Source organism: Homo sapiens, chromosome 20 (assembly GCF_000001405.40).
Source record: "Homo sapiens chromosome 20, GRCh38.p14 Primary Assembly".
NCBI classification, from domain to species: domain Eukaryota; kingdom Metazoa; phylum Chordata; class Mammalia; order Primates; family Hominidae; genus Homo; species Homo sapiens.
Window position 1 is genome coordinate 21,241,589 of NC_000020.11, and position 14,329 is coordinate 21,255,917.

Genomic DNA, 14,329 nt, shown 5'->3' on the forward strand with positions numbered 1-14,329 from the left:
TAAATGTTCTCAAAGCTACACTGTGTAACCACAGGACAAACAGAAAAAGCAAGTTCAAGTGGCCTCATAGAGACATGGCTTCAGGAAATCATTTTTTCCTAGAGTGCCACATGCGGAAGTGAGGTCCCTGAAATGCTCAGTGGGTCACCTCCGTGGTGGGACTCAGCATTGCTGGCTGATTGCTTTTGATGAGTTAAGTGACGACTAACACACACTCGCATAGATGTTCTCATGTGTCTGTGTTTACAGCCTTGTGCATGACTTTTTCCTTTTTTTTTCTGCTTCAGCTTTTCTGGGTTTTTATTTTTTTTTCTTTGCCAGCAGGGAAGCCAAAGAAACTTGATTCTGAAGTGCAATATTGAATAGAAATATGTAAATCAAGTATTATATAATTGAATATTGATCAAATGCCTTTAAGCAGGGCCCTATGCTTAGTGAAGTTCGCTTGTTCATTCCAAGTGAACATACTCATTAAGCACCTGTTAAGTGCTGTGCACCGCCTTACCCAGGTGAGCTGAAACAGGTGTGGTCACTACCCGCATGGATCTTGCAGTTCAGAGGGGGAGGACTGGCACGTCAGTTGGCTGCACAAGTGGATGTGAAACAGCAACTTGACGAGGACTCAGTGGTAAAGATAGGGAGTCAGAAGTGGGAAGGCTCCAGCAGGACAGCACGACACTCCTGGGGGATCCACCTTGGAGGCACTGCTTGGGATTTAGGTCTTTGTGCAGAAATCAATGGAAAGGCATTGAAGAATTTTAAGCGAGGAAGTGGAGCGACCAGATTTGCATTTCAGAAAGCTCACTCTCATTGCCTAGTGGAAAATGGATAGTAGGGGACAAGATGAGTGTGTGTCACCAGTTAGGAGGTTGTTGCAGAGAGAGAAGCAAGAGCTGATAGTTTTGTTGACCAGTGTACTGGCAGTGCCCAGGGAACTGGTGAGGACTGCAGGAAGTATTGCAGGGGGGTCGAGAGGGGTGGGGGTGGAATTGGCAGGACCGAGGGCCAGACTGGATGTGAAGGAAAGAGGAGTGGAGACTGGAGAGGGGCTTGGGGAGACTAGTGGGTCAGGGGTGCCATTTGCTGAGACGGGAGGAGCTGAGCTCACCTGCCACTGTGTCCTTTCTCCTGTGTCAGGGGCTCCCTGCTGCCCCACCCCGCCACACCTTGTTCCCCAGTCCTGTCCTGTGAAGGCCTCTGCCTTTGGAGGTGCCGGGCTTCCTCTGTGGTCCTGCAGCTCCCCCAATCACCTGCCACAGTGCTCTCCATCCACCCAGCTGGCAGAGATCTCTCCTGCTCCCCCTGTGGCTCTTCTTGTATGGACCGCGGCTGGCAAATTAGCCTCTTTCCACCCCTCCTAGCATTTTTATAATCCACCCTCCCCTGCAGCACCTAGCCCAGTGTCCTCAGGTAGGGGGAGGTGGGGAAATAATAGACATCCCTGCAGTTGCATTTAGTGTGTGTGTGATGTGTGTGTCACTTTCTGTAAAATGGGTTCTTGCAGGCTCACCTCACTGACAGGTCCCCACAATCCTGGCAGCTCCAGGACTGTCAGTCAGCTGCTGGCCTTTCCAGATGCTCGTAGGGGTCTTCCATGCTTCATGGAGAAATGGCTGTGAGCACTACTCAGTCATGGCAATTAAAGAAACAGGCACTAAATTTAAAGGGAACACTGAAAGGTAGCCTAGAAAATGATACCTTAGTGGAGCATGTTTTTCTGAAAAAAAAAAGTAAATTATAGCAAAACGTAGATTTTTAAGCCAAAAGTCAACCACACTTGGCCCAAAGGGAAGGAAAAGATATATTTGCAGGGTTTCCTGTGTCCAGAAGAACAAGGCCCTGGCTGTGAGAAGGGCGGTGGTGGTGCGTGGGGTAGGGCAAAGTGTCGAGCCATGCACCAAGAATGGTTTCTCTCCCAACATCTCCTGTGACCATTCAGGCAATTCTGAAAGAATCTCAGCATCATAAAACATTCGAGTGACACTCCCTGAGGAGACTTTTAAATTCATTAAAATTGCAAAAGCTCCTGAAAAGGCACACAGAGAAATCATATCCCGTGGAGCCAGTTTTCTTGTCATATTGGCCTCAGTCGAGACGGTCCTGGACGCCACGAACACTAGCATTTATGTGACACTTGCAGGGCCCTCTACCAGGTGTTTGTTTTGAACTCCTTTCTTAACTGTTAGTATTGCTGCCACTGGTTTGACTAAGTATTTTAACTTCCTTACCAACATCTTGAATTCCCTACTGCAAGTGTTTCATTTTTAGCTTGCCTGAAAGCACTGAAGTTTGATGCATCACTGTCTTCCAGAAGACTGTTGAGGGAAACCGGTCCCCTGCCTCAGGGGAACATGCGATCATCCTCCCCCAAGAACACGTGGCCCCACACAGGCACAGCTCAGCAGGGCGGGGTGGGCCATGCAGACCTGCCGAGGGGACACACGCAGGACGGGAGCAATGCTGTTGAGTAGCGACCCTCCCGACAAGGCCACGCTGCATCCCGATATTTTCCCTTTACTTTTAAACTCTGGGAAGTAAGTGTAAAGTTCTGGCCTCCAGTGAATCAAAGTGCTTCTTCTCTAATGCGTTCATTATGAAAATATTAGTCTCATTGTCTTTTCTTTTTCAGAACTTAGACTGTTTCTTTATTTTGCAGGCATGAAAACAAAAAGAAACCCGTGATCAATTTAAAATCTAATGGTGAGAGAGATAATCGGACACTAGATTTTCTTTTTCTGTTTTAACCAAAAAACTCTGTGACATGCATTTGTTGTTTGCACCCTCATGTGAGTCCTGAAGCGGGCATGCTCACAGGGACTGCCATTGCAGCTGTCCCTGGGGTGGAACCTGAGGGCTTCTGGAGGCTCAGTTCTTCACAGACAGGACCACACGGGTGCCATGGACCACAGGGGCAGAGCATTGTAATTTGCAAGTATGAATTTGCAGGGGATCCTGGCCTCCATGTCTAATTAATTATCAGCACCCTGTATTTTACCAATGAAATGTTTCTTGCCTCTCTCCTCATCCTCAGAAGCACCCATTGCTCATGACCGGACAGGCTCTTGGAGTAACTCTAACTGGTTTCCTCATACCCAGTTCCTCCCAGCTCCTGGGAACTCCCAGCTCCTCCACCTGGCCACCAGCCTCCAAACCCTGGCTTCCCCCGACCTTCCTGTGTAAGGACGGCCAATGCCTCCCCGTACCTTCAGGGTAGAGTCTGAGCTTTCTCCATTCCTGGGAGGCCCCAGCCCTGCTCTCCAGCTTATTCCTCCCAAGGTCGCCTCTTTGGGTCAAGCCACAGTCAGCTTTTTTCAGCTGTAGCACACCTATGCCTCTGTACCTTTGCCCATGTTGTTCCTTCTGTAGGGAGTTCCTTTTCCTTTTCCTCAGCCCAGTGAGCTCCTATTCATCCTTCAACACCCAACTCACGGGAAAAATCTAGCCCTCCTACCATAACACTGTGGCATATCCCCTGCCCAGCTTGGGCTCTCTCACCTCCTGTCTCCTTAAACCCCTTATACCTTAAATTAAAGGTATAATTTGATTAATAGTTTTACTGACAATAACAAAAATATTCGCTGTTTATTTAGCCCCAGTATGTCCCACTTTGCTAACCCAGTATGGAAACTGATTCAGAGCTGCTGTAGAACCTAGGCCTAGGAATCTGCCTTTTTAGCAAGCACCCCACTGTGAATCACTCTTCTAGAAGGACAGCTACCTACTGTGGGGGAGACAAGTACCCAGTGGGTTGTGATGGAGAGTATGGGCTTGAGTCAGATGACTTGGATGGGACTCCCAGCTTGGCCACTCACTGGCATTGTGATTGTGGCCAATTTCTTAACCCCCTTCAGCGTCCGTTTGTTTGCACAGTGAAATGGAAACATTAATACTTACCTTGCCAGGCTGGTGCGAGGATGAGATGGGGTTGTGTATGAGAAGTCAGCACAGAGCTGGCAGGTGGTGCCATGCAGGTGTCAGCAGAGTTAAGGGATTGTTGATGTAGTAGACGTGGTCCGCTCCACTACACCTTGCCAGACCACCTGCAGGGCACCTCAGCTCCAATTCACAGACGCGCCTACAGCTTCCTGCACCAAGCAGCTGTGTCTCTCTGCCTGAGGGCTTTCTCTGGCTGCAGGAGCGTGCTCAGCCCTCACAAGGCAGCCCAAAGTACCAGGGAGTTGATGCCCTGGGTTGAGAGCAACCCTCAACCAACAGAGGCAAGTTGGTGGATCAGTAACCCCACTCCCTTGCTCTTCACTGGGACAATCTGGGGAGAGTTCTGCAGTCTCTCAGGGGGCCCCAGCAGGCTGAGCCTTGCCTGTCCACTCACTGCCAGGCACCCACTCGTCATCATACCCTTCATTGGCTTCCTGTCTTCCTTGTGTCACTGTCCCCATGGTTCCTGGGATCACCTCTCAAGTAAATGATGTGGACCAAAGTCCTGTCTCAGGGTAACCATCTCTGCTTATTCCTCTGCCACGTCTTTCCCTTCTCCTCTCTGCTCTCATAAAGAAGAATGGGAGATGAAAGTGGAGGGGCAGCTGAGGTGGGGCGGCATCAGGCTGATACAACACCCCAGGGAACCCTGCTTCCATGTAACCCTGACCTTAAATCCCTATCCTATAATAAAGAGTTGGGCACAACAGAAGGGAAAAGGAAGTATTCTGCAAATTGTTTTCCATAACAGTGCAGAGGACACACTTTGCAATGTGTAATTTGTGCAGTATGACATGCATTTGGGTGTGTCTGGTCAGGTACATCATGTGGTGTCCCTGTTATGCATTTTGCAGACTGACACTCTGCTTAACCAGTCCTTCCGTGCTGTGCTGTTTTGTAAGCTCTTAACCAGAATGCAAAAATGTTAAATAACTGTCTGGTTTTATTTTCCAGCCCTCTGGGATGAGTCTGATGACAGTAACTCAGAAATTGAGGCTGCTTTACGCCCCAGAAACCATAACACCGATGATTCTGATGATTTTTATGACTAACGTGCTGTGACATTGGTTTCAAATAAAGTCTTTAAACAAACTAAAATCCTGTGTTAATATGTGATGTCCAAAATAAATATGTTCTTTTAAGTTTTCTCACTGTTTTATGGGAAAACTTAGGACTACATTGCTATTCAAGTGAAATTTTATGACATAAATATGAACTTGCATATTCATTTTTAAGTTCATCATGAAGCAAAGTGATGAATGCAATGCCCATCAAAATTCAAGGTGGTTTCTATGTTAGAAATTAGCCAGCTGATCTTAAATTCATATGGAAATTCAAGAGGCCCAGAATAGCCAAAACAATCTTGCAAAAGAAATACAGTTGGGAGGCCGAGGCGGGTGGATCACTTGAGGTCAGGAGTTCAAGACCAGCCTGGCCAACATGGTGAAACCCCATCTCTACTAAAAATACAAAAATTAGCTGGGCGTGGTAGCATGCACCTATAATCACAGCTGCTCTGGAGGCTGAGGCAGGAGAATTGCCTGAACCTGGGAGGCAGAGGTTGCAATGAGCCGAGATCACGCCACAGCACTCCATCCTGGGTGACAGAGCAAGACTCCTTCTCAAAAAAAAAAAAAAAAAAAAAAAAAATAGAGTTAGATTTCTCACATTTCCTTATTTCAAAACTTACTGAAAAGCTACAGTAATTGAGATACTGTGGTACTAGATAAACAGAAATCAATGGAATATTGACTCTGTTGATTCATATGTATCTAGAATTGAGAATACAAAAACACTGTCACATTTAGTCAATTAATTTTTGACAAGGGTAACAATTTCTGCTACTCAATGGGATAAAGAATAGCCATTTCAACAAATGATGCTGGGACAAATGGATAGCCACATGGCCAAAGAATGATCTTGGATCCCTACCTCACACTGTATACAAAAATTAACCAAAATGGATCAAGAACCTAAATGTAAGAGCTAAAACTACAAAACTGTGTTAGAAGTAAACATAGGTGGCCAGGCATGGTGGCTCATGCCTGTAATCCCAGCACTTTGGGAGGCTGAGGCAGGCAGATTGCCTGAGGTCAGGAGTTTGAGACCAGCCTGGCCAACGTGGTGAAATGCTGTCTCTACTAAAAATACAAAAATTAGCCAGGCATGGTGGCAGGCACCTGTAATTCCAGCTACTTGAGAGGCTGAGGCAGGAGAATTGGTTGAACCTGGGAGACGGAGGTTGTAGTGAGCCAAGATTGCACCATTGCACTCCAACCTGGGCGAACCCAGGAGACGGAGGTTGTGGTGAGTCAAGATTGCACCATTGCACTCCAACCTGGGCGACAAGAACGAGACTTGGTCTCAAAAAAAAGTAAACATAGGTGTAAGTTTCTCTCACCTTGGATTAGGCAACAGTTTCTTAGATATGACCGCAAAGCCTTAGATGTGGTTGCAAAAGATACCACCAGGAAAGTTAAGGCCAGGTGCAGTGGCTCATGCCTGTAATCCCAGCACTTTGGGTGGTCAAGGTGGGTGGATCATTTGAGATCAGGAGTTCGAGACCAGCTTGGCCAACATGGTGAAACCCCATCTGTACTAAAAATATATAAAGCCAGGCGTGGTGGCACGCACCTGTAGTCCCAGCAACTCAGGAGTCTGAGGCAGGAGAATCACTTGAACCCAGGAGGCGGAGGTTGCAGTGAGCCAAGAGAGCACCACTGCACTCCAGCCTGGGTGACAGAGTGAGACTCCCATTTCAAAAAAAAAAAAAAAGAGTGAAAAGACAATCTATAGAATGAGGAAAGTATTTGCAAATTATACATCTAAAAATGGACTTGTATCCAGAAATACATAAATAACTCTTATGACTCAATAATTTAAAAAACCCCGATTTTGAAAATGGGCAAAGGATCTGAATAGATATTTCTCCAAAGAAGATATACAAATGGCCAATAAGATGCATGGCATCATTGGTCTTCAAGGAAATGCAAATCAAAACCACAGTGAGGTACCCCTTCATGCCCTCTAGCATGACTGGAATCAAAAAGTCAGGTAACAGAAGTAGTGAGGAGGTGGAGAAATCGCTGGCAGGGATGTGAAATGGTGCAGCAGCTTTGATAAACACTCTAGTAGTTCCTGAAAAGGTTAAACATAGAGGGATTATGACCTAATGATTCTACTCCAAGAGAAACAAAAACATATCCACACAAAAACTTGTACAGGAATATTTATAGAAGAATTATTCATAAGAGCCAAAGAGTAGAAACAACCCAAATGTCCATCACTTATAAATGGATAAACAGAATATCCATACAGTAGAATATCATTCCTCAATAAAAAGGCATGGAGTACTAATCCATGCTACAACATGGGTGAACCTTGAAAACATTATTCTAAGTGAAAGAAGTCACTCACAAAAGACCACATAATGTCAGATTCATTTCTGTGCAGTGTCTAGGACAGGAAAATCCATAGACAAATGAGTAGTTGTCTAGGCCTGGGGTCGGGAGAGGAGTGACTACTGATATGAGGGATTTTGGCAGGGATAATGAAAATGTCCTAAAATTCATTGTGCTGATGATTGTATAATTCTGTGGATACACTGAAAACCATTGAAGTGTACACTTTAAATAGGTGAATTATATGCTCTGTAAATTACATGTCAATACTGTTTAGAAAAAGGAAATTGGTAATTCATACATCTTGGGGTGTAGTGACTACAGGCAACTCTTGGTGCAACACTTTCTCACTTTTAAATGGTCACTTTAGTCAATGTCAGAAGTTAATTGTGCAACTCAGGAGCCTGGGACTCATGGTGGGTCATGTGACTACTCTGGCTTCCTTTGAGCCCTCAGAATCTCTGAAATTGAAATGATTTTTAAAGCATTGTGTGTATTTTGTTTTTAAATCACCTCCTGCTTGTCACTTACCTACTCAAGAACTTGGGAGATGTCTTTGATTCACTCCTTTATTCTCCCTTCTTTCCACTCAAATTACCAAGGCCTTTCCTATCTCTTCCCTGCCATCATCACCATCCCCATCTGAGCCTTCACACCTGAGTTTCTGCAGCAGGTGTCTTGATATTGCCCTTGGCAACTAAGAAAAATCCTGCCATGGGTTTCCTTTTTCTTTCTTCTTAAAAAGGTATAACTTGGGTATTATTAATTTGCTAATAATAAAATAGCTGCTATTTATTGAGCACCCTATTATAACCCAGACACTTTGCTTGCTCAGCATAGAAACCAACTCAAAGCTGATGTAGAGACTAGGAATCTGCATTTTTAGTGATTCCTGTGGGAATCACTGTTCTAGAAAGACAGCTATCTACTATGAGGAAATAAATCCAACTCTGAAATCCATGTTTTTATCCATTTGATGGGAGGCAAGGAATGTTGGCTGTTTGGTTTTTTGTTGTTGTTGTTTGTTTTGTTTTGTTTTTTGTTTTTCTTCATTATGTTGTTCTGGCTTAGTTGTTCTAATAAAATATTTCATTCTTTGGTTTTTAAAACTTTTAAGCTTTATACTACAGCGTTATTTTTCTATATTCTCTCTTCCCTATCCACAATTATTAAATAATGGGAGTTGACTCTAATGGTAATTCTCCACATAAATAAAGGGGGTACTTTATGGCTCAAAGCACACGATGGAAAGATTTAGAATCACGCTATTTTAGGACTGGAAAAGCTTTTAGAGATCACATGGTCTTTGAATTTTAGAGTCAAAAAGGACATTATTCATCAAAACTTCTCATTTTAGAAAACTTGGTCAAAAGTGATACATAAATATGGCAGCTAAGTGAAGAGCAATATAGATACTAACTTGTCAGTAGACACTAAGAAGACAAAGAGAAGCGTGCCTGGCAAGGATTGAAGTTAAATGGAAAAATGTGGCTTGCATTGGCCAATGCAATGTGAACACAAGTAACCAATGCCACTTTTGGTTAGAAGCTTTAGTGCTATGTGTGATTCTCTCCTCTTTCCTGCATCAGCAGCCATGGCAGCATGGGACAAGTGGAGCCTCCATCAGCCTGGCTGCATCAGTGACTAGGAAGAGCAGACCTCCCCTGCTAATCATGTTTGCACCACTGGAATTGGCAGGTTGTTACCACAGGAAAATTCTGGTCTATCCTGACCAATATACTATTCTTCCATTTACGTATACTCTTTTTTTTTTTTTTTTTTTTTTGAGACAGAGTCTCACTCAGTGGCCCAGGCTGGAGTGCAGTGGCAGGGTCTCAGCTCACTGCAACCTCCACCTCCCAAGTGATTCTCCCGCCTCAGCCTCCCGAGTAGCTGGGATCACAGGCATGCGCCACCATGCCTAATTTATATATTTTTAGTAGAGAGGGTTTCACCATGTTGGCCAAGCTATTCTCGAACTCCTGACCTCAAGTGATCTGCCCGCCTCTGCGTCCCAAAATGCTGGAATTACAGGCATGAGCCACCACGCCCAGCTATTTATGTATATTCTGATTAGGCCACGTGTAATTTAATTTTGGAGTGGTGAGACTTGCAAGGTTTCCTAAATGCTCACTGAATAAACATTACACCTTTGAGATTTTTTTAAAGAAAATTTGATTCTGAATAAAGAACATATTTTTTCCTTTTTCCAGTTAAGAACCTCAAGTATCTGTGGTTAGACTATTTCTAAATGAAGTGGTAACAATTACAGTTGCAGAAGGTGAGGAACAAGTTGCACACCTTGGGGCAGGGATTGGGGGACATTTTTAGAACTGAGCTGTGGTAGTCAATAAACGGGAGTCTGTTGACAGGAAAACCTCCAGAAACCACAGCCTGCGGGGAAGCCCTCTGTGGTTTCTGGAAAGCAGGCACAGCATCTGGAGCATTTCCCTGGGTATTTGTATGTATCTCCACTGGAAAGTAGCAAATGAACTGGGTTCCTCCAACCATCTGACCCAAGAGGTAGAACTGAATTCTCCCTCCTCCCCCCATTTCTAATGTGGGCTGGACTTAGTGACTCACTTCCACAGAATAGAGATGGAAAGGGGGAAATAGTAATGGTACAGTGGAGAAACCTGCCTGACACCACCTTACGTGATGAAGGTTAACACCCATGAGTCATGACTCGTGTGGATATCTGGAACCCTGACATGCTGCCGGGAGACGGGCACTTCTCCTCTATAGTGTTCTTTCTGAAAAATCTTAACCACAGCTTAATCATGAAAAATATCAGATAACCTTGGGACATTTGACAAAACACCCAGCCATTACTCCTCAAAACAGACAGTGTCATGAAAACCAAGGAAAGACTAAGAAACTTTCACAGACCAGAGGAGAAAGAGACATGACAACTAAAATGCATTGTGGGGCCCTGGTGGGATCCTCGAACCAAAAAAAGGACATTCACGGAAAATCTGGTGAAATGTGAGTAAAGTCTGGAGTTTAATATTAATGTACCATGTTGGTTTCTTAGTTTTGACAAATGTGCCACAGCAATGTAAGATGATAATATTAAGGGCAACTGAAACTGGGCTAGGGGTATATAAGAACTCTGCATTATCTTTGCAACAAATCTAAAATTATTCCACATAAACTAACCTCCATCAATAAATGTTATTGACACTTGGGTGATACCCTTTCACACTTTTTCTGTGCACATATGCTTTTTCATTCTCTTAAACGTTTCTATTTTTAATCTCAATGTTACCAGGCTTAAAAGATTGATACCCACTAAGAAAACAAAACAGGCCTTCAACCAGGGCACTAACTTGCTATTTGTCAGCAATGCTGATGGGGTATACAGAGTCCTACATCTTAACATCTTTTACCTACAGATCACATGCTGCACTGATGATAGTCCAGAAGAAAGCCTAGGTTTGCTGCTAGTCTTTAAAACTTTGCTAACCATTTTCTTACTTTGTAGCAATAGAGTAGGCCTAGGACCCCACACTAGTAGCAAGCAAAATTTTCCAGCTACAATTTAACCTTTCTTTTTTCTTTTTAGTTACTTTCTATTTATCTCAAATGGCTCTGGTTTAAAATGTACAGAAGTGGCCAGGCACAGTGGCTCGTGTGTGTAATTCCAGCTACGTAGGATGCTGAGGTGGAAGGATCACTGAGTCCAGGGAGGTCGAGGCTGCAGTGAGCCATGATCATGACACTGCACTCCAGCCTAAGCAACAGAATAAGGCCCTGACAAAATAAAAATAAATAAAATAAAATGGATAGCAGTGATATAAAGTTCCCTTTTAAAATACATTTTAGGGAAAAAGAAAGTTGACCTTCAAAAATAAGCTTAAAAAAAAATAGAACAAGTGCTAGGAGGGCACGGCCAAGTGGAAGGAGGGGAAAGTTGCTCTGTTACCCTCACTAAATACCTCTCTGATGTATTTTGGGGTTTCCAGAGGATCAGGCTTCATGGGGAGGTCACACATGGAGCCCATGGCTAGTCCTGTTTCCCAGGTGAAAGCACTATCACTATCACAGCATAAGTTAATAACCCGATCTTCCCATTTATAAATCAAACTTTTGTGAGTTTGATTAACATGTGGATCCTGTGAACTGGTGAAACCAAGCACCACAACTCACAGAGTTTAGGACTCAGCTCTAGATCTGGGGTAGCCACTCCCCACCAACTCCCTACTGAAGTTCAGATACAGCTTTATTATTTGGTCATTCTGCAGTCCTCCCCCACCCCCCACCGCCAATTAAAGGAGATTTTTGTTTTATTTTGTTTTGTTTTTTAATTATACTTTAGGTTCTGGGGTACATGTGCAGAACGTGCAGTTTTGTTACATAGATATACACGTGCCATGATGGTTTGCTGCACCCATCAACCTGTCATCTACATTAGGTATTTCTCCTAATGCTCTCCCTCCCCTAGTCCCCCACCCCCCAACAGGCCCCGTTGTGTGATGTTCCCCTCCCTGTGTCCATGTGTTCCCATTGTTCAACTGCCACTTTTGAATGAAAACATGAGGTGTTTGGTTTTCTGTTCCTGTGTTAGTTTGCTGAGAATGATGGTTTCCAGCCTCATCCATGTCCCTGCAAAGGACATGACTCATTTTTTTATGGCTGCATAGTATTCCGTGGTGTATATATGCCACATTTTCTTAATCCAGTCTATCATTGATGGACATTTGGGTTGGTTCCAAGTCTTTGCTATTGTGAATAATGCCGCAATAAACATACGTGTGCATGTGTCTTTATAGCAGCATGATTTATAGTCCTTTGGGTATATACCTAGTAATGGGATGGCTGGGTCAAATGGTATTTCTAGTTCTAGATCCCTGAGGAATCGCCACACTCACTTCCACAATCGTTGAACTAGTTTACAGTCCCACCAACAGTGTAAACGTGTTCCTATTTCTCCACATCCTCTCCAGCACCTGTTGTTTCCTGACTTTTTAATGATCGCCATTCTAACTGGTGTGAGATGCTATCTCACTGTGGTCTGGATTTGCATTTCTCTGATGGCCAGTGATGGTGAGCATTTTTTCATGTGTTTTTTGGCTGCATAAATGTCTTCTTTTGAGAAGTGTCTGTTCATATCCTTTGCCCACTTTTTGATGGGGTTGTTTGTTTTTTTCTTGTAAATTTGTTTGAGTTCATTGTAGATTCTGGATATTAGCCCTTTGTCAGATGAGTAGGTTGCGAAAATTTTCTCCCATTTTGTAGGTTGCCTGTTCACTCTGATGGTAGTTTCTTTTGCTGTGCAGAAGCTCTTTAGTTTAATTAGATCCCATTTGTCAATTTTGGCTTTTGTTGCCATTGCTTTTGGTGTTTTAGACATGAAGTCCTTGCCCATGCCTATGTCCTGAATGGTATTGCCTAGGTTTTCTTCTAGGGTTTTTATGGTTTTAGGTCTAACATGTAAGTCTTTAATCCATCTTGAATTAATTTTTGCATAAGGTGTAAGGAAGGGATCCAGTTTCAGCTTTCTACATATGGCTAGCCAGTTTTCCCAGCACCATTTATTAAATAGGGAATCCTTTCTCCATTGCTTATTTTTCTCAGGTTTGTCAAAGATCAGATAGTTGTAGATATGTGGCGTTATTTCTGAGGGCTCTGTTCTGTTCCATTGATCTATATCTCTGTTTTGGTACCAGTACCATGCTGTTTTGGTTACTGTAGCCTTGTAGTATAGTTTGAAGTCAGGTAGTGTGATGCCTCCAGCTTTGTTCTTTTGGCTTAGGATTGACTTGGCGATGTGGGGTCTTTTTTGGTTGCATATGAACTTTAAAGTAGTTTTTTCCAATTCTGTGAAGAAAGTCATTGGTAGCTTGATGGGGATGGCACTGAATCTATAAATTACCTTGGGCAGTATGGCCATTTTCACGATATTGATTCTTCCTACCCATGAGCGTGGAATGTTCTTCCATTTGTTTGTATCCTCTTTTATTTCACTGAGCAGTGGTTTGTAGTTCTCCTTGAAGAGGTCCTTCACGTCCCTTGTAAGTTGGATTCCTAGGTATTTTATTCTCTTTGAAGCAATTGTGAATGGGAGTTCACTCATGATTTGGCTCTATTGTTTGATTATCTCAATAGATGCAGAAAAGGCCTTTGACAAAATTCAACAACCTTCATGCTAAAAACTCTCAATAAATTAGGTATTGATGGGACGTATCTCAAAATAATAAGAGCTATCTATGACAAACCCACAGCCAATATCATACTGAATGGGCAGAAACTGGAAGCATTCCCTTTGAAAACTAGCACAAGACAGGGATGCCCTCTCTCACCACTCCTATTCAACATAGTGTTGGAAGTTCTGGCCAGGGCAATTAGGCAGGAGAAGGAAATAAAGGGTATTCAATTAGGAAAAGAGGAAGTCAAATTGTCCCTGTTTGCAGATGACATGATTATATATCTAGAAAACCCCATTGTCTCCGCCCAAAATCTCCTTAAGCTGATAAGCAACTTCAGCAAAGTCTCAGGATACGAAATCAATGTACAAAAATCACAAGCATTCTTATACACCAATAACAGGGTGGTTTTGTAATGGTAGTTGCCTGTAAGTAATCCCAGCTACTCGGGAGGCTGAGGCAGGAGAATCGCTTGAACCCGGGAGGTGGAGCTTGCAGTGAGCCGAAATTGCGCCACTGCACTCCAGCCTGGGCGACAGAGCAAGACTCCATCTCAAAAAAAAAAAAAAAAAGAATCATAGTTACCTCCTAATTGATCCAAAAGCCAATGCGATTTCAGTCAAAATCCCAACAGGTCTTCCAGGTACTTAACAAGCTGGTCATAAAACTCAGAAGGAATTTAAAAGGCCAAAATGTTGAAGGCAATTTTGAAGAATAAAGAGAAGGGGTCTTGCTATAGCAGAAATCAAGATTTATTATAAAGAGCAGTAATTAGGCCATGTGGTGTTGGCTCAGGGATAGAAACATGGAGCAGAATACAGGCTCTAGAAATATTCCCAGGCATGA

General features: G+C 43.5%; 1 protein-coding gene across 14 annotated transcripts in view; it reads left to right on the top strand.

The window, feature by feature from the left end:
* Nucleotides 1-5,034, top strand: part of KIZ (kizuna centrosomal protein) — a 120,648-nt gene extending 115,614 nt beyond the window's left edge. For 7 of the 14 annotated variants that reach the window (NM_001276389.2, NM_001352436.2, NM_018474.6 and 4 more), the window contains 2 exons: nucleotides 2,657-2,700; nucleotides 4,891-5,034. In NM_001276389.2, coding sequence (NP_001263318.1) covers nucleotides 2,657-2,700; nucleotides 4,891-4,988 — 142 coding nt within the window. In that variant the 3' untranslated portion in view covers nucleotides 4,989-5,034. Of the gene's footprint in view, nucleotides 1-2,656; nucleotides 3,564-4,336; nucleotides 4,452-4,890 lie in introns of those variants that run through there. The other 7 variants (XM_011529296.4, XM_011529297.4, XM_011529299.4 and 4 more) reach the window with 3 other exon arrangements.